A 17521-nucleotide genomic window follows, 5' to 3' on the forward strand; every position below is an offset into this window, starting at 1 on the left:
AATCTTGACACACACACGTGGATATATTGGTAGAATAAATTCTTATAATAGAACTGTGGGGTCAAATTTTCGATTTTGATACTCTCCAAAGAAGTCATACCAGTTCATGCTCTCACTAGTGGTGCAGCAACTAGTACGCGTTTTTGCTGAAAATTTTTATGATGTGTAACATACACATAGAGAAGTGCCCAAATTACAACTGTACAGTTTGAAGAATTTTCACAAACTGAACATACCCATGTACCCAGCACCCAGATCAGAAAACAGGACATCCCTGGCACCCAAGGAGCCTTCTCTCAGCACCCTTGCAGACGGTCTGCCTCAGGCCTTGAGAATGTCTCAAATGAATGTTCCAAGCCTCTGCTCTTTCCCAGACACTGTCCTAGACTCAATACGGGATCCAAGGATGAAAAAGAGGCAGATTGTTTGCAGGAAACTTGCAAATAGTAGAAAGAAGATACAGCCAAAAAGAAATCTTTTACAGGGTGGAATCGCAGAAGAACCATTAGAGAACCGTAAACACAGCGTTAAGGGACAGCAAAGAAAAGGGTTGCCGGCTGGCTGGGAGGGGCTAGAAAGGCTTTGGTGAGAGATCGTGGTGTTTGAGAAGGGCCTTGAAAGAGGGATGGAGCATAGGGAGGAGAAATGGGATAGGCAGGGGTACAGAGATGGGAAGGCAGTAGTCCAGGGGATAATAAACAATACTGTCTGTGACTTAGTAGGGCAAATAGTAGGAGAAGCCGGGAAGCTAGATTGGGGTCCTCTTTAGATGACCCTTTGTGCTGGGATGAAAGTCCAAAAAAAAAAAAAACTACACCACCCCTGCTTCAGGCCCTACTCCGGTTCCATTGTCCAAGCCCAAGCCCCTCGGTGGGCCGGTGGGGAGCCCTTTGTGGTGGTGCCCATCTCCCACCCCACCTCTCCACACTGCATGGCAGACTCCTGGCACCCTCACTGGGCACTGCCCCACCCATTGCCATACTTCCCGTCCGGCAGACCTTCTCCTGGCACTGCCTTGGATCCCAGCAAAAGCAGCATCTCTTCTAGCCTCTGTTCGCTCCCTGGCTACAGTGTTTACCTTTTTTAACAGTGATGATCTGTGAACACATCTATTTCCTGAACAAGACTTTCAGCTGCTCAAAGCCAAGGATGCTGTCTTGTTTTCTGCATCTCCAGCCCCTTGCACAGGGCCTGGGAGTTTCCTAAATGAAAAAGCGAGTGGGAGTTTGTGTTTGATTCAGCTGAGCATGAAGAACGGTTAGAGATTTGAGGGATGATTTTCCTGGATTTGTAGTCTTTGATATTGTTTACCTGGCAGTGGCAAATGTGGAGGGAGTGAAGTGGAGGGATGGGGACTCGTGGTGGCATTGGGAGGTGGGACCCGAGTTGTGCCCATTGCCTCTGTGGCTGCTGGAGGATCGGTTGTCAACACAGTAGTGTCCTTCTGTGCTTGTATGACCCAAGCTCCTAATCCGAAATTTCTCATTAACAGCCCATGAACCCAATTCCAGCACCGTTGCCTCCTGACATACCAAGCTTCAACCTCATTGGTGACAGCCTGTCTTTCGACTTCAAAGATACTGACATGAAGCGGCTTTCCATGGAGATAGAGAAAGAAAAGTATGTAGCCCCCTGTGCCCTGCTGTGGGCAGCTGTGAACTAGACTGAGTGATTGGGGCCTTGGGAAGCTGGGGCAGAGGTGAGAGGTCGCTGCAGCAGCCTGTCATTACTCCTGCAAAGGTTTGCTCTGCTCTTACACCCTGGAGGAAGAATTTCCTTAATCAGAAATTAAGGACAACAGATCAGCATTCATTCTGAACGAATAAAAATAACAATTTTTATCCAGGATAAAAATAACACTTGACTGGTGAGCTGGAGTTTTTGGTGGCTCTAAGCCTCACCTAAAGTGTAGGACTGGGTTGTTAGCATCTCTGAGTCAGTTCAACTGCTGTTATACTACTGGACTGTAGTCACCTCCTAGTTGTGTTCTCCAGCAACTGGGATCTGTGGTGGTTCCCATGTCTAGAACAAACAAAGGTGAGAGAAGAGACTCAGGCTCGAGGCTAAGGAAAGCTGACAGCTGGTGGGGCCACTTTGCTGCAGTGGGTGGCACTGGGCAGGGCCCCAGCATGGCCTGATCATGGCAGCAATTGCTGAGCTGCCCTCCGTCTTCCCTTTATTGTGGGTAGAAGTGGATCAGAGATGGAAAGGAAAGGATCCCCACTGCAGAGGAAATCTAAGCGAGGGCCCCTAGTTCCCAGAGCTAGCGGTAAGTTGGTTAACTGCTGCTGCTTGCTAGAGGACAACCACAGTAGCTACCATGCATTGAGTGCCTGTGTGTCAGGGGTTTTGGCTTTTGTCTCATTTAATTCCTGCTAACTTACAAACATCAAAATGACATCAAAGGTAGGTTTTCATGTTCCCATTTTATAAGTGAGAACTCAGATTTAGAGAGTTTAGTGAACTCCACCAGCATCCCACAGCTGATGCAGAGGGGTTGAAACCCCTCACCCATCTGACTCTGCAGCCCATGTGCTTTTACCATGGGTGGTATCCTCAGGAAAACCCTTTGGGGAAAGTGTCTCCATGGAGTCCAGTATGGGCAACCAGAACCCAGGCTGTTTTTCTTTGGGCTCTCACACTGAGGGTATAGCTAAGTAGCCAATGAACCAGAGCCTCTAGCTGTCATATCTGCTGTCCATGTTCCTTTCACCATTATCCAGACATATACATTTATGTGGTTGGGATCCGGGATCAGGGTGAAGCTGTTCTGTGTCTGCTATTTTATAGTTTGTATTTTGTTACTATCTTAGTTTGTTTTGGCTACTGTAACAAAATACCAGAGGCTGGGTAGCTTATAAACAACAGAAATTTATTTCTTGGCCAGGCACAGTGGCTCATGCCTGTAATTCCAGCACTTTGGGAGTCCAAGGGGGGCAGATCTCTTGAGCCAGGAGTTCAAGACCAGCCTGGGCAACATGGCAAAACCCCATTTCTACTAAGAATACAAAAATTAGCTGGGTGTGGTGGCACATGCCTGTGGTCCCAGCTACTCGGGAGGCTGAGGTGGGAGGATTGCTTGAGCCTGGGAGGCAGAGGTTGCAGTGAGCCCAGATTGCACCACTGCACTCCAGCCTGGGCAACAGAGAGACACCCTGTCTCAAAAAAAAAAAAAAGAAAAGAAAGAAATTGATTTCTCACAGTTTGGGAGGCTGAGAAGGCCAAGATCAAGGCACGGGCAGAGGTGGAGTCTAGTGAGGGCATTCTTGCTGGTTCATAATCAGCCCCTTTTTGCTGCATGCTCACCCAGTGGAAGGGATGAGGGGTCTCTCTGGAGTCTCTTTTATAAGGGCACTAATCCCATTCATGAGGCTCTACCCTCATGACTGCCCAAAGGCCCCACCTCCTGACACTTTTTTTTTTTTTGAGATGGAGTCTCACTCCATCGCCCAGGCTGGAGTGCAGTGGTGCGATCTCGGCTCACTGTAACCTCCACCTCCTGGGTGCAAGCGATTCTCCTGCCTCAGCCTCCTGAGTAGCTGGGATTACAGGCGCATGCTATCACGCCCAGCTAACTTTTGTATTTTTAGTAGAGATGGGGTTTCACCATGTTGGTCAGGCTGGTCTCGAACTCCTGACCTCATGATCCGCCCACCTTGGCCTCCCAAAGTGTTGGGATTACAGGCGTGAGCCACCACACCCAGCCGGTGATTAGGTTTCCACATATGAATTTTGAAGACACGAACATTCAGACCATAGCACTTCTTACCCTTGCACATATTGGCAGAGTCTCTATACTAACCATGGCAATCCCTATGGAGTGTTTTTGGTATTTGTATTGCATGGTTTTTCTGGCCATGCCTTGTAGTTGGACACTTTGTGGGTGGTTTCCAGATTTTCACCATCATAGATGCTGTCACTCAGTGTTATCTGTTCTCAGGTGAGGGTGGGGATCTTTTCTTCCTTGCGTTGGGTGAGCTTCTGAGTGAGCTTCTGTCATCTTTAGATGAAGTCTCAGAACAAGTGGGAATGTGGATGTGGCCTATCAAAAGAGATCACGTGAAGCTGGGCGCTGTGGCTTATGCCTATAATCCCAGCCCTTTGAGACCAGGGGTTCAAAGCCAGCCTGGGCAGCATAGCAAGATCCTATAAAAAAAAAAAAGAGTTTACTTGAATTACTGCTCCAAGAAGGGTTGAGACAAGGAGATTGTTCTGGGTTCCCAGGAAGCTTGTTTCACGTATGTTTTTTTTTTGTACAGAACGAAAAGCTGTCCATGAGAGCTGGTATTTGTAGAGCCCCCTATGAGAATTTACCAAGGGCTTTTCTACTCTTTCTTTTTCTTTCCTTTTCTTTTTTTTTTTTTAAAAATAGAGACAGGGTCTTGCTATGTTTCCCAAGCTGGTCTCCAACTCCTGGGCTCAAGCAATCCTCCTGCCTCAGCCACCCAAAGTACTGGGATTACAGGTGGAGCCACCGTGCCTGGCCTCCTACACTGTTTTATTTAATCCTAACCACGGCCCTGTGATCATTATCCCAATTTTAATGATGAGGAAACATTCATAGCATTTAAGTGACCAGCCCAAGCTCCCATGGCCTGTGAGTGGCCAAGTAGAGACGTGAACCCCAGGCCTCAAACCCTAGATCGCACACCAAGCAGCTTGTGGGCCGCAGAGCACCTGAGCCGTGTCTCACTGTCTGCCCAAGCCCTGATGCATGATACCCTCTTGCCGGCAGAGTGGAATACATGGAAAAGAGCAAGCATCTGCAGGAGCAGCTCAATGAACTCAAGACAGAAATCGAGGCCTTGAAACTGAAAGAGAGGGAGACAGCTCTGGATATTCTGCACAATGAGAACTCCGACAGGGGTGGCAGCAGCAAGCACAATACCATTAAAAAGGTACCCAGGGTCTCTTTCTTGTATTTTGCTGATCAGGACCATCATTAATGAAATGTGCGGTTGGCATCTGGTTTCCTCAGTAGCCAAGTCACTAGACTATTGGCATCTTTTGTATGTACTTAGTTGAGGAAATTTTTTAACTTATGCCAGAAAGGGAATTTAATCTGCCAATGACTATGAACCCATTGGCTGGATGGAAGTTGAGCTTGTGTTAAAAGCTCTGATGTAATGAACCCCTGTTACAGGGTGGATTTTGAGCCCTCATTTAGCAGTAAAGCATAATGCCCTTTTAAGCCAAGGGGTGTTATACCCAGGGAGCTGCCTTACTTTATGAGAAAGCAGAATGAAATGGAGGCTATTGAGAATGGACTTTCCCTCTAGTCTTGTGGTGTCTTTAAGTGGCAAGGACTATAAAACCAAACTGAATTTTTAACTTTTTTCATACTTAAAAGGAAGTGTCTAGGAAAGAACCTCTTTGTTTTAAAAGAGAAGACTTTATTACTTTGCAAATGGTTTCATATCTTTCTCTACTGGTATTTTGAGCTTTCAGCATTGTCGAGATTCAGAAGCTAAATTCCATACTAATTATCAGCCCAAGAGCATACCTCTCTCATTTGGGCCAAGCAGAAGGGTCCTCTCATACCAAATAATGCTCTGCTCTTAACTGATAGCCCAGGACCAGGTTAACACCTATAAAATAGGTGTTATTAAGATAAGACTGTCCATTGAGTTTAGGTGATACTGATACAGTTAATTTTTTATTCTTTACCTCAGTCTTTAAAATAGGCTTCCAGTTTTATGGACTGTCTCTGTTTTTAGTGGTTAAGCTGTATCTGAAAACTCCAGGGGATCTGTTTCTGCCTGCCTTCGTTGTTGGGTACAGTAGGCAGCCCTGACTTCTACCTCTCGACTCCAGTCACAACTGGCACCGGGTAGAGAATTCCTTTTAATAGTGCAACCTAGAAGGAAAGGCATTTCCACATTCCACATTCTTCTTTCCTCTGGCTTCTGTAATTTACTGGGCTTCCCTTCCAAAACAAAATTATTAAACAGTAAAGGGGAGTTCAAGGGAGGCCTCGGTCATTAAGGAAAGAGGTAAAACGATGGCTGAGCCAGTGAGCCAGTCAGCCCTTAAATGAACTGCCTCAGACACCCCATCTCACCCCTTACCCCCAGCCTTGTCATCTGGGTCCCAGGAACAGTCTCACCATTTCCACTGCTGCTGCAATGAGCAGTGCCCTCAGCCACAGAAACCTGCAGTGTGAGAGCTGGAGAGACCCCGTTCCAAGCCATTAAAACAAACAAAATCACTCATCACGATTTCAGGCCTATCCAAGCATTTTGCAGATGGCACTTATGGCATTGTTGATATCACAGGGTATGTTTTTGTTTTTCTTCATTTTATTTTGCTGGTTTAGCCTCAAGCCCAAGGCAGAAGACCTATCTGCATTTGAGCCCTCAAAGTAGGTTGTTCCCAGGTACTCTCTATGTGGTGATGGTGCTGCCCTCTGTGATACTAACCCGTGCATGAGCTTGCCTGTCTCTGTCCTCGGGCCACACTGAGCCCTTACGAGGGCAGGTGGTGCCTGGGTACTGGCCGCAGCATGCTTTGAGTCTAAAAGTAGGCACCCACCCTGTGAAGCCAGACCAGCCTCCAGGGCCCCAGAAGACTGCCTCGTTCCGAAGAGCATGTCATGGGGCTGTAGGACCAGCCATTCTTCCCATCTCGGGTCATTGTTGGGCTGGGGAAGGTTATGGCTTCTTGTCCAGTCAGGTGTGTCTAAAAGTCCTTTGTCTTGGTGGCATACTCCTAGCATGGAAATGGGGTCAATCTGGGCACTTTGGAGACTGGTGTGTTTAACTCAAGATCAAGACCTTTTATGCGTTGACAGCCTCTCAAGACCCATGGTCACACCTGGCAGCTTCTGGTAGTGGGGCAAAAGGGTTGCTTGTGCTGGCTCATTTTCCTTTAGAGCTTTCCCTTTCTGCACACATCCCTTTTCTTTTCAAATAAAGCAAACCCAGAGCACAGGGTCTGATATGTGAGTCCACGGGGAGTGGACTGTCTGTTCATCTGTGCTCAGCCACCTCTGCTTCAGCTTCCTCTCCATAGGCTGAGCAGAGATGTGGTCAGAGTGAACTCACATTGGAACAGTACACTCACGGCACCCTGGAGAGGAGCGGTCACTGGTTGCTGAGTGAATTAACCGAATGTTTGCTGCTTTTCTCCTGCAACAGTTCATTATTCCTCCAGCATGCCTAGGCAGTGGAGAGAATGTATTTTGCCCAATAATAAAATGACATCCTGCCTCTACTTCTCACCTAATCCCCAGTAGTACCCATGCCAACAAGCCCCACACCACCTGACAGCAGCATAGGATGTGTCCTTTGGAGTCTTCCCTGCAGTTTCTGCTCATAGAGTGGAATAAGCTCATTGGAACCTTTCTAACAAAAAGAGATCTGGCATAAGATAGATCCTACTTGTGGTCGTTATCCCATCAAGAGAGGTCAGCTGTTAAAGTCCCTGATAGATCTTATTAAAAGGTACACTTGAGCTGTCAGTGGTTCCAAGAATCCATGACATGAACCCTGTTTTGTATGCGACACTTTCATTTAGCGGGCTCCTGTTTCTTCAGCTTTCATATCCTTGTTGGCATTGATACCCTGATACAGAACAGTCCGCGCTCTGAGCAGGGCAGTTATGGCCAGCATTGTCACGGGCAGGCCAGCTCATGGCACCCAGAGCAGCCAGGTGGACCCACCTTGGTTTACTGAACTTTTTGTAACCATGGGGGCAAGCAGAAAACCCCGCTGCATTTCAGCCAGTGCTGCCAGGTGTTCCCTCCATGGGAAGGTGCTGCTCAACCTGAATGTGACTTCCTCTTTCTTCTTTCTATAATGATGCAGAATGCTGAAATTCTTCAGGGTCCTGATTTTGACTGTCATTTCTCACTGAGCTTTTACTGCAGACAAAAGAAGTTTCATTTTTAGTTAAATTTGCACTGCTCCTGGGACATACATGGATGCATTTATTTATTCATCCATTTTAATGTCTCGATGTGAACTTGTTTTTAAAGCAGGCTACCAGGCAGTTAATCAAACACTCGGGTTAATCAAGGGTTAATAAAAGCAGGGACTTGATGTTTAATGGGACAGGCATTCTCTCAGCATCACTAGATTCAATAATGCTGCACTATTAAATTTTGCTGCACATGAAGTTCAGTGCATGTTCCATTTTCTAGACTTTGGCAGTGCCTGTGGTCAGTGACCGGGACTGATGAGCAGCCACATGCCTGCACTAGGGTGGCTCTGGGGTGGTGCATGCTGCAGTCTGGCTGGCACAAGCCTAGCTGAAGAGAAGTACTGCTTTAGGCTTGGATGTGGGGATACCTAGATGTCAAGGGCAGAACTCCATCTAGAATGCCTGGGGATGAGATGCAAAAGCTGATAGTGAATGGAACAGTTTCCAATGTCCAAAAGCTTGCTAATCTGGGATCAAACCAGCCTGTGTTGATGTTAGTTTTGCTTTGTTTTGAGACACGGTCTCCCTCTGTCACCCAGGCTGGTACATTCTCGGCTCACTGCAACCTCCACCTCACAGGCTCAAGTGATCCTCCTGCCTCAGCCTCCCAAGTAGCTGAGACTAGAGGTACTAGCCACCACACTCAACTAATTTTTGTATTTTTTATAGAGATGGGGTTTCGCCATGTTGCCCAGGCTGGTCTCGAACTCCTGAGCTCAACCAATCTGCCCGCCTCTGCCTCCCAGAGTGCTGGGATTATAAAAGTGAGCCACTGTGCCTGGCCTGTTTTGTTTTTAATAAGGTTTTTTGTTTGTTTTGTTTTGTTTGAGACAGGATCTCACTCTGTCACCCACCTTGGTGACAGCCTCGACCTCCTGGGCTCAAGCGATCCTCCCACGTCAGCCTCCCAAGTAGCTGGGACTACAGGCATTTGCCACCATGCCTGACTGATTTTTTTATTTTTATTTTTGTAAAGATGGGTTTCGCCATGTTTCCAGGCTGGTCTCGAACTCCTGAGCTCAAGTGATCTTCCTGCCACAGCCTCCCAAAATGCTGGGATTACAGACATGAGCCATCTTGCCTGGCCATTGTATTTGTCCTCGTTTTCAGTACTCTTCTGCCTCACTGAGAGGTCTCAGAGTCTGCTGTGTGGTTTCAGCAGTACCCATGGGGGCTGTGTAACATTGAAGCTGATTCAAGGAGTTTGCCCTTAGGTTACCAGGGGTTACCGCATTCCCTGAGGAATGCTGAGCGGCCATCCAGTCTGATTAACCGAGGTTCCTACTTCTCTGCCACTTCCTTTCTCTATAATTCTTACTCGCTCGCTCTCTCTTTTTTTTTTTTTATTATACTTTAAGTTCTAGGGTACATGTGCACAACGTGCAGGTTTGTTACATATGTATACATGCAGCTATAAAAAAGGATGAATTCTTACTCTCTCTTGAGGCACAGTGTCCTCACCTGCAAAAGGTGGATAAAAATAGTCTTTGCCCCCAGGAGTGTTGTGAGGAATAAATGAGAGAATGTGTGTGCAACACTCAGTGCACAGTCAGAGCTCAGTAAGGGGTTAAAACTCTGAAAAGGGAAAATCTGCTTGTGATCCTGCAGCAAAGGGCGAAGGACGGCATGTGGGCCACACCGCCACATCTAGGTACACTGCTTGTGCTGGGCATATTCATTCATTGTATTAATTGCTACGTGGCTGAAAGTAAAAACTTTTAAAAAGCCATAATTGGCCGGGCACAGTGGCTCATGCCTATAATCCCAGCACGTTGGGAGGCCGAGGCAGGTGAATCACCTGAGGTCAGGAGTTCGAGACCAGCCTGACCAACATGGAGAAACCCCGTCTCTACCAAAAATACAAAATTTGCCAGGTGTGGTGGCGCATGCCTGTAAACCCAGCTACTTGGGAGGCTGAGGCAGGAGAATTGCTTGAACCTGGGAGGTGGGGGTTGCAGTGAGCCAAGATCGTGCCATTGCACTCCAGCCTGGGCAACAAGAGCAAGATTCCATCTCATAAATAAATAAATAAATAGCCATAATTAACTTCACTGTTTCCTTGTAATATTTCACTTGGGTTTGCAAGGATGTATTTTTCTCCTCTTGCTAATCTTAACTTCCTGTATTTCCATTTTTCCCAATTGATGATCAGTACAACTAGTTTGCCATTTGCATCTGAGTCAGAGCAGTGCTAGCGATCAAAAGCCGCCCTGGGGAACCTGGAATTGTTTCATTCTCAGTGGGAGCGACACGTGTCCTGGCATCTGAGCCTTCCGAGTGAGGGGAGTGAGTCTGGCCATCAGGCTGGGGTTGAGGGACACAGGGTGCCTTGAGCCTGGCTTTCGTGCCTTCAGAGCCACAGTGCCAATGATGGGAGTGGTGGCTTGGTGTGGCGTAACTGTACCACCATACCTTGATGGTAGAATGCAGTCCTGGAATATATACATTCAGGGTCTTTCTTTCATCGCTTCTCAAGAGAGGGGTTTCAGTCTCCCGATCCTGAGCTGGTCTGAGTGCCAGCAAACAAAGTCATCACTTTTGTGCCTGTGGTCTCCCAAGGAGCACAGGATTTCCAAGGAAATTGACGGATGAGAAATCATGGGGGTGGTGGAGCTTAGAAAGCTTATTTCATTAGTAAATGGTTTGAACCGTCAAGGTCCAGCTGTGGTTTCCACTGATGGAGGAACAGGAAGAAGAGGAGCCTTGACATTTATCTCAAGCGCCAGCAGCTTCTCTTGGATCAGGAAGACATAAAAGTCCAATGTCATCTTCAATTTGTGCAGGCTCCCCTTGGAGTTGCAGAGCCAGTGAAGTGAAGTAGAACAGTTAAAAAAACACCCGGGGAAGTGATAAATCACAGAGAGAGATTGCATATGCGGGAAAGGTGTCTCCCACAATTAAAACAAGTGGCCAGAGCCTCCCTGGCGACCTCTGGTCTGCATTGCCAGCCCTGAAGATGGCTCCTAAATTACTTAAGTTTAATAGGTAGTTAATATAGCCAACCCTCCTTATGACCCCAGTGGGCTGAATGGCTCTGCTTGCTTTAGGAACTGGGCGTTGTATGGTAGAGCATCTTGGCCTTGACATAAAAGGTAGCATACTGGCTCCCCAGCCCTGAACCTTCCCTGCTAGAGCAAGGCAGGGGTGAGAGGGGGAAGGAAAGAAAAAGGAGTGGGGAGTGGGGTGGGGAGCAAGGATTAACAGGGAGCAGTAGCAGCACCAGATGTGGGCATAGCACACTGGGAAGAAATTGCAGTGGCGATCTGAACTCTTCCTCTCCGCCTCCTGGCTCTGTGGAAGCCCAGGGAAGGCATTAGGAACTGCAGGCTGCTCTTAGTGCTCCTCCCGGATGGGACACCTTGGGCTCATCCCTGAAGGCCACTCCTACCACTCTCACACACTGAGTTCCTGGTGTCTCGTAACTGTTGAGAGCTTAGTTTTCTTGCTTGTTTCTGGTAGCTCTAGATAGAAGACTGTATCGGCCTCTTCTAAAAGTCAACAAGCCAATCCTGTTTTTGGTTAAGAGACTTTACCTGGTCAAGCAGTTGTTCTTTGGGAGGTGTTGAAGAGCCTACAAACCTGCCTTGCCTGCCTAGGTACTTTACCACCATTTGGAGATGCCTGAGGATATTACCAGGCCTTATTTGAGGCAGTAAAACACCCTGTTCGGCCCCTCGGCACTGAAGATGTGTTTCAGTGCAGCTCTCCTCGGCACCGGATTCGTTGCTGCAACAGTGGGAGGGAAGAGCCAGATGCAAACTCGTTCTGCGAGCCCGAGGTTCTGTTCTCATGATCCTTGCTGTGATTTCTCTTTTGATGTTGGCAATTTTAAAATGACATCAGTCTATCTGGACCTTTTTCCTAAGGCTCTTGCTCAGACCACTCAGTAGATAGCCGCCACCTGCCCAGTGAGGTGAATCAGGCCCATTAGGCCATTTGTCAGGGGAAGGAACAGAGGAGCAGCGGAGGGCCCCGCCGGCCAGTGCCACAGGGCAGCCTGCAAAGCAGGTAGACAGGTTTTCAGGCAGCTTTTGCTGCTTTGGGTCCCTCAGGGATTAATACACAAAAAGGGCCCCTTGGGTATTCAGTGGCAGATTTCTCTTGAGAGCAGATAAAGTCGCTAATAACAAATTGGATTTGTTCATTGGGGTGGACTTGGCCTTTCGTTCCACCTCTGTGTAGGATAAGTGTGTGGATAGTGCTCCCACTGTGCACATCACCATATGGCATTTGGGTGCAGCTGTCCCTAGCCAGACTGCAGAAAAGCTTGATCTGGGCCGGACGCGGTGGCTTATGCCTGTAATCCCAGCACTTTGGGAGGCCGAGGCAGGCGGATCACGAAGTCAAGAGATTGAGACCATCCTGGCCAACATGGTGAAACCCTGTCTCTACTAAAAATACAAAAATTAGCTGGGCGTGGTGGCATGCGCCTGTAGTTCCAGCTACTCAGGAGGCTGAGGCAGGAGAATCACTTAAACCCAGGAGGCAGAGGCTGCAGTGAGCGGAGATCGCGCCACTGCAGTTCAGCCTGGCAACGGAGTGAGACTCCGTCTCAAAAAAAAAAAAAAAAAAAAAAAGAGAAAGTAAAGAAAAGCTTGATCTGGCCACTTAGTACAGCCATCCCCCTTTACTGGCCCTTCCTCTTTGCTTATTTGGAAGGGGGAAGGTTTCCCACACCCCAAACCAAAGATTCTTTTGGAATTTGCTGCTGCTGGATTCAGCTGTCACCTTTCTGCTCTGAGTCTGCTTTCTCCCTGTGGATCCGGTGCCAGAGGATCTGCACGTCCTTTTGTGTCTACACCCTCCCCCGCTCCTTCGTTTTCAATATGTAGTAGTGGAGAGGAAGTGTAACATGATTTTAGGGCTCACATTTCAATTCCACTGCATTTTTATGGGACAAGCAGAGACCCAGCGCCTGGAGTTATTAGGTTAGTATCTAAAATGGGTTCAGTACTGTGAGTCTTATTGTTTAAAATGAATGAGATGGTCCCCTCCTACCTTCTTTTCTCCTCCCCTGGGATGAGTGGATTGAGGCAAGGCCCCCAGAGACTAGTTGAAGGAATCCTGGTGCTCTGATTAGTTTTGTTCCCCAGCTTAATTGTACAGCTTCCTTTCTCTCACCACTGATAGCCAAAGTAGCTCTGTGTCTCCCCCAACCTTCCCTTGCTTTAGGAACAAGATGATCACAATGCAGCCTTGTGAATCAATTTTCTGTCTGTGCTGATGAAAGTGTAATTCATTCTTAATCAAGCAGCCTTGCTGCTGCAGGCTCCGTGCCGGAATACATTTAGTTACCCTCCCATCACTTTGGGAAACGATCCCCCAAAAGGGCTTTTAGAGGAGAGCTGGAAGGAGAGTTGGCCGTGCGCCTCATGCTGTGGTTTTCCAGCAGGGGGCACTCAGGAACGATGCTGGCGGAGGCTTTGTAGCTGGAAGCCGTCTGCTGCTGGCAGGGCAGCAGGAGAATGTTTGTCACAGGTGCCTTCCAGGCTTGCTTTCTCCAGACCCTGGGGCCATTTCTCAGAAGTACCCTAATGGGCCACCCAAAATCCTCAGGTAGCAGTGAGGAGGAACAGTTGAAGATGCAGATTGCATGCCTGGGTTAGAGAGTGCCGGCTGGGTACCAGGTTCTTTTAGCCAGCCTCTTCTGTCTTTTTAAGTAGACAGATGTGTCTCCTGAATCTGAACTTGTTTAGATTGGGTGGATGTGTCTGTTTTTGTCACACCACACACAATTTGGGGAGCGTAAGGAGGCCCAGCTCTGCCAGAATGGAACTCTCCTAAGTTCTCCCCTGCCGTCTCACAGCCTGCTGGCTGTCACAAACAGCTGGCAGTTTTATGGACAAGTGGGCAGGGGAAAAGGGACCCTGCCGGGGCTGAGTCTCGATGTTGGGCAGGAAGTAAAAGCCAGGACCCAACAAGTGGATCAGAGGGGGGATGTGAAGATGAACAGTCAGATAGCAATAAAGCCTCATAGATCTGCCCCAGAGAAAGAAAAGGAAGTTCGTCTCCTCAGAATGGAATTGGATTAGTGACAGACTTGAGCAGCCGGTTCAGTCGAGAGAGAACTTAATTCCTCCTGTGTTATTCACACGGCTGATTCTAATCAGATGTGAAGAGACAGCTGGAGGAGAGCAGCGGGTCAGCCCATGCCTGGTGCGGAGGCTTCATGTTCTTGTAGGCATCTTCAGGGAACTGGCAGGAGCGCTTTGGGTTGGAGACTCTGAGCAGGGCCCTTGGGTTTATAGCCTGCCCAAGGAACTGGGCCTGGCTGCGGGACTCCCATGGTTGGACCTTGTCTAGATTCAGTGAAAGTTTTGAAGGACAGTGCATGACAGACGTCACTGGTCAGGTTCACCAGAGCTTGGCTCACTTGTCTTCAGAAGGATTCAAAGGCAGTTGACCAGACTTGGCAAGTCCCAGACTGGTGCAGCCACTGTCCTCGAGACCCTGGTTGTACACCCTGAGGTGCTTCTGCTTCATTACCTGCTGAAATTTGGAGACCTCTTCTTCCTGGATAACCTTCAAGATACTCATTGTGCATGCGAGGAATTCCCCGCCCTCCTGGGGGGACTCCACTCCCCAGGCAGGCAAGGTTGGGCAAGGGGAGGGCTGTTGCTGGATTGCCAAAGGGAGCATGGACATTTTTGTTTGGAATTCAGGGTGGGAATGGGACTCACCAGAGTGGCTTCAGTGCTCAACTCACAGTGCAACATAGGACAAGGTGAAGGCCTTCTTGGGAGGCCTCTTCTGGCTCTAGCAAGCAGGTGTTGCTGGGCAGTGTAGAGGGACCCAGGCCGGTTGCTGAGCAGGAAGATGTACCTAACACTGATGGGCCTGCACACCTTAGGGTATGAGAGCATCGCAGGGGAACCAGGAAACTTGTTAGCTGGTTTTCATGTGTTTAAAAAGAAGACTCGGAGGCAGAGTTTATTTTATGAAGGGCTAGCTTTTTGCCATTTCTTCTGAGCTTTTGCCTTTTCCTTTATGAATACTTCCTGCCTATGGGTGTACTGTAAATGTAACAGCCAGTGAGCTTTCTAGAAGCAGCAGATGGTGAAAGATCCACAGGTGAGGAGCCTGCCCACTGGAGGGGCGAGACAGTGCCCAGGCAGGGCGTGCAGGTGGCAGAGCTGTTTGCATGCTCCGCGGGGTGGCTTCCCAAGCTCTCTGTAGAAAAACTGCCTGAGGGCAAATGGCTCCACTGAGCTGCTACCTGCAGGAAAGAAGCTCAAGGGCTCTCCTCGTCTCACTGCCTGCCTTCTTCACCTGCTGGGAGGAGGGCATTGTGGTGTCTGAGATAAAGGATACCCCCAAGGTGGAAGCAGAGCCATGGGGGTGGCCTCCAGCAGCAGGGAGGAGCATTGTGCAGTAAATTCTGACTCCGGGGCTCCTGTGGGGATTGGAACCCATAGGAATTGCACAATGAGGGTAAAGGATGGGGCGGCAGCAGCCAGGTCTGTCTAAGGGGCGAGCAGCAGTGGCCGAAGGCTCCCAGGGCCCTCGGGCAGCAGCCCTTGCTGACCAGTGCAGCCAGGTCGTGGCTGCCTCCAGCTGGTGGGTCTGCCTTCCCCTCTGACCGCCTCAGTGCCTTCTGGAGGACTGTGGCTCTCTCTCCTGCCCAGTGGCTGTGGTGCCTTCCTACTTCTGTGTGGGCAGACTGATTTCCCTCTCTACCTTTACTTGTGGCTGAGGCGAAGCTCCTGCTCTTGCAAGATAAGAGGTGGGGCTGAGGCGCTGCAGTGCAGCTCAGGTGGGGCTCAGGAAGCACCCCACCCACCCCAGAGCACTCTGCATCCTAATAAGCACATGCTCGAGTCACTGGAATCTGGTGCTGCTGGCAGTGCCAGAACCCTCCCCTAGCACCTCGAGGGGACAGCCAGCATGCTCCTCGGGTGGAGGATCCAGGAATTCTTGGAGCCAACATTGCACAAATGGGCAGGAGCCTCTCAAGGCCCCCACAGCCTGGGCTCCCTGCCTGGGGAAGTGGCCAGGCTTCATAGGGGCATCACTTGGCCCGCCTGGTAGGCATGGAGGCCAGTGCCATACGTGACCTTGTTGTTGCCTGCACCCCTTCCTAACGAGCACCCTGCTCCCCACTGGAAGGAGAGGGGCCAGGGCTCCTCCCTCCCCAGGGAGGGGAGAAACGTGATGTTGCTATTAGCAATAACAGCTGCCGAGTTCCCACCATGCGCCAGGTGCAGTGTTGAGTGCATCACACGCGGTTCCCAATTCCTCTGCCTGTCACCCCACGAGGAAGGGGCTGCCATCACGCCCGCTTCACAGTGAGGAACTGAGGCTAGAGGGGAGCAAGTGACCTGCCCAGGGCCACACAGCTGGTCAGTGGCCCAGCTGGGCCTTGCACCAGGCAGCTGACTGTGCCTGTATCTGACTCAAAGTGGCTGTTCTTTTCAGAAACCTGAGCGGAGATACTGGGCTCACATGCTTTCATTTAAACCCTCTCTCATTTTTGCCCCAGTAGTTATCTGGCAGCTAAATCTCTTCCTCCTTTCTTCCCCAGTGACCATTCTGGTTCCCATCATCACAGGGCACATAACTCCTGGCCCTTCTCCTCTGATTACATTTAGGGAGAAGCCCATCCTGATGCAGCTCCCTTCTAGAGGGAGTTCCATTTAGGCAAAAAAGCGCTCTCCATTCCCATCAGAACCGGGCTTTCCAAAGGGCTCTGAAATTGGTTCCACTGAAGAAGGCAGCTGAGCTGCCTCCCCACATTCCGCTTGTTAGTCGGGAACTTCAAGGCCAAAAGATTTGGCAGGATTTAAAGAGTTGCTCTCAAGCTGTCTCATTCTGAGCACACTAATGCTGTCTGTCTTCTGATGGTGAAGTGGTGGGTTTGGAGTCTCCCTCCCCTGCCCTTTATGGAGCCGCCGATAGTACCGAGGACTCTTCACATGCAGACTCGAGGGGTCCAGAGAATGGGCCAGACCATCTTGCCTGCCCCATGGCAACCTCCAGAGGAAAGAGGCTCAGAGAGGTCAGGGGTGTCTGCAGTGAGCTGCTGATGGCAGAGAGTGAGCTCTCGGACCTTCTCAGCCGGGTGTGGAGCTCTTGCCTCTCCCGCGAACCTCAGTTTAGTTATCTTCATAGCCCACGTCCTGGTCGCTTAACAAACATTGAGCTCCTGATCGGCACATAACACTAAGCCAGATATTTGGGGGATATGAAGATGAATGGTACAGACTCCCTCCCCTCCACCCCCGCACTCCTGTGGGAAGTCCCGGAGCTGGAAATGGAACACAGTCACACCCAAGGCATTGATTTCAGGAGTCAGCAGAGAGCAGGGAGTAGGGAGAGTGCTGGCTCCAGATGCTTCTATCCAGGGAGATGCTGGGAAGTGGCCCAGAGTCAAGGGCTTAGGAGGTTGCAAACCTCACTATGCCAAGAGCTCGGTCCCTGATCCACCCCATCCCCTTCCACATCTCCCTGACTGTCCTTCTTTACATTTGCTGGGCAGAGTGCCACCTGTGTGCACCAGCCCTCCCTGCCTGCACAAGCCACACTGAGAAAGCCGTTGCCTCCAGCTCATGGAGAGAAACACCTTCTCAGCTGCCACGTCATGAGCAAGTTTGCTTCGGGACCA

At 49.6% G+C, this 17521-nt stretch overlaps 1 protein-coding gene across 26 annotated transcripts in view, besides 8 other annotated features; it reads left to right on the forward strand.

Moving 5' to 3' along the window:
• Positions 1-17521, forward strand: part of NF2 (NF2, moesin-ezrin-radixin like (MERLIN) tumor suppressor) — a 95045-nt gene that overhangs the window by 73148 nt on the left and 4376 nt on the right. For 8 of the 26 annotated variants that reach the window (NM_016418.5, NM_001407056.1, NM_001407067.1 and 5 more), the window contains 3 exons: positions 1493-1620; positions 4736-4898; positions 6317-6361. The exons of 1 other annotated variant lie outside the window; for it this stretch is intronic. In NM_016418.5, coding sequence (NP_057502.2) covers positions 1493-1620; positions 4736-4898; positions 6317-6352 — 327 coding nt within the window. In that variant the 3' untranslated portion in view covers positions 6353-6361. Of the gene's footprint in view, positions 1-1492; positions 1621-4735; positions 4899-6316; positions 7473-17521 lie in introns of those variants that run through there. 17 more of the 26 variants (NM_001407053.1, NM_000268.4, NM_001407057.1 and 14 more) reach the window with 5 other exon arrangements.
• Positions 11521-12022: an enhancer, noted in NCBI's record as "H3K4me1 hESC enhancer chr22:30084213-30084714 (GRCh37/hg19 assembly coordinates)". NCBI's record gives its function as "activates a minimal SCP1, AML or CMV promoter by ChIP-STARR-seq in naive H9 embryonic stem cells {active_cell/tissue: H9 hESC(naive)}" and the evidence as "EXISTENCE:reporter gene assay evidence [ECO:0000049][PMID:30033119]".
• Positions 12023-12522: an enhancer, noted in NCBI's record as "H3K4me1 hESC enhancer chr22:30084715-30085214 (GRCh37/hg19 assembly coordinates)". NCBI's record gives its function as "activates a minimal SCP1, AML or CMV promoter by ChIP-STARR-seq in naive H9 embryonic stem cells {active_cell/tissue: H9 hESC(naive)}" and the evidence as "EXISTENCE:reporter gene assay evidence [ECO:0000049][PMID:30033119]".
• Positions 12742-13242: an enhancer, noted in NCBI's record as "NANOG-H3K4me1 hESC enhancer chr22:30085434-30085934 (GRCh37/hg19 assembly coordinates)". NCBI's record gives its function as "activates a minimal SCP1, AML or CMV promoter by ChIP-STARR-seq in primed H9 embryonic stem cells {active_cell/tissue: H9 hESC(primed)}" and the evidence as "EXISTENCE:reporter gene assay evidence [ECO:0000049][PMID:30033119]".
• Positions 12742-13326: a biological region, named in NCBI's record as "NANOG-H3K4me1 hESC enhancer GRCh37_chr22:30085434-30085934".
• Positions 13095-13326: a silencer, noted in NCBI's record as "fragment chr22:30085787-30086018 (GRCh37/hg19 assembly coordinates)". NCBI's record gives its function as "represses an EF-1alpha promoter that drives an FKBP-Casp9 reporter gene in an ReSE screen in HepG2 liver carcinoma cells {active_cell/tissue: HepG2}" and the evidence as "EXISTENCE:reporter gene assay evidence [ECO:0000049][PMID:32094911]".
• Positions 14526-15146: an enhancer, noted in NCBI's record as "H3K4me1 hESC enhancer chr22:30087218-30087838 (GRCh37/hg19 assembly coordinates)". NCBI's record gives its function as "activates a minimal SCP1, AML or CMV promoter by ChIP-STARR-seq in primed H9 embryonic stem cells {active_cell/tissue: H9 hESC(primed)}" and the evidence as "EXISTENCE:reporter gene assay evidence [ECO:0000049][PMID:30033119]".
• Positions 15147-15768: an enhancer, noted in NCBI's record as "H3K4me1 hESC enhancer chr22:30087839-30088460 (GRCh37/hg19 assembly coordinates)". NCBI's record gives its function as "activates a minimal SCP1, AML or CMV promoter by ChIP-STARR-seq in primed H9 embryonic stem cells {active_cell/tissue: H9 hESC(primed)}" and the evidence as "EXISTENCE:reporter gene assay evidence [ECO:0000049][PMID:30033119]".
• Positions 15769-16389: an enhancer, noted in NCBI's record as "H3K4me1 hESC enhancer chr22:30088461-30089081 (GRCh37/hg19 assembly coordinates)". NCBI's record gives its function as "activates a minimal SCP1, AML or CMV promoter by ChIP-STARR-seq in naive H9 embryonic stem cells {active_cell/tissue: H9 hESC(naive)}" and the evidence as "EXISTENCE:reporter gene assay evidence [ECO:0000049][PMID:30033119]".

This window comes from Homo sapiens, chromosome 22 (assembly GCF_000001405.40).
Source record: "Homo sapiens chromosome 22, GRCh38.p14 Primary Assembly".
Taxonomy (NCBI): Eukaryota; Metazoa; Chordata; class Mammalia; order Primates; family Hominidae; genus Homo; species Homo sapiens.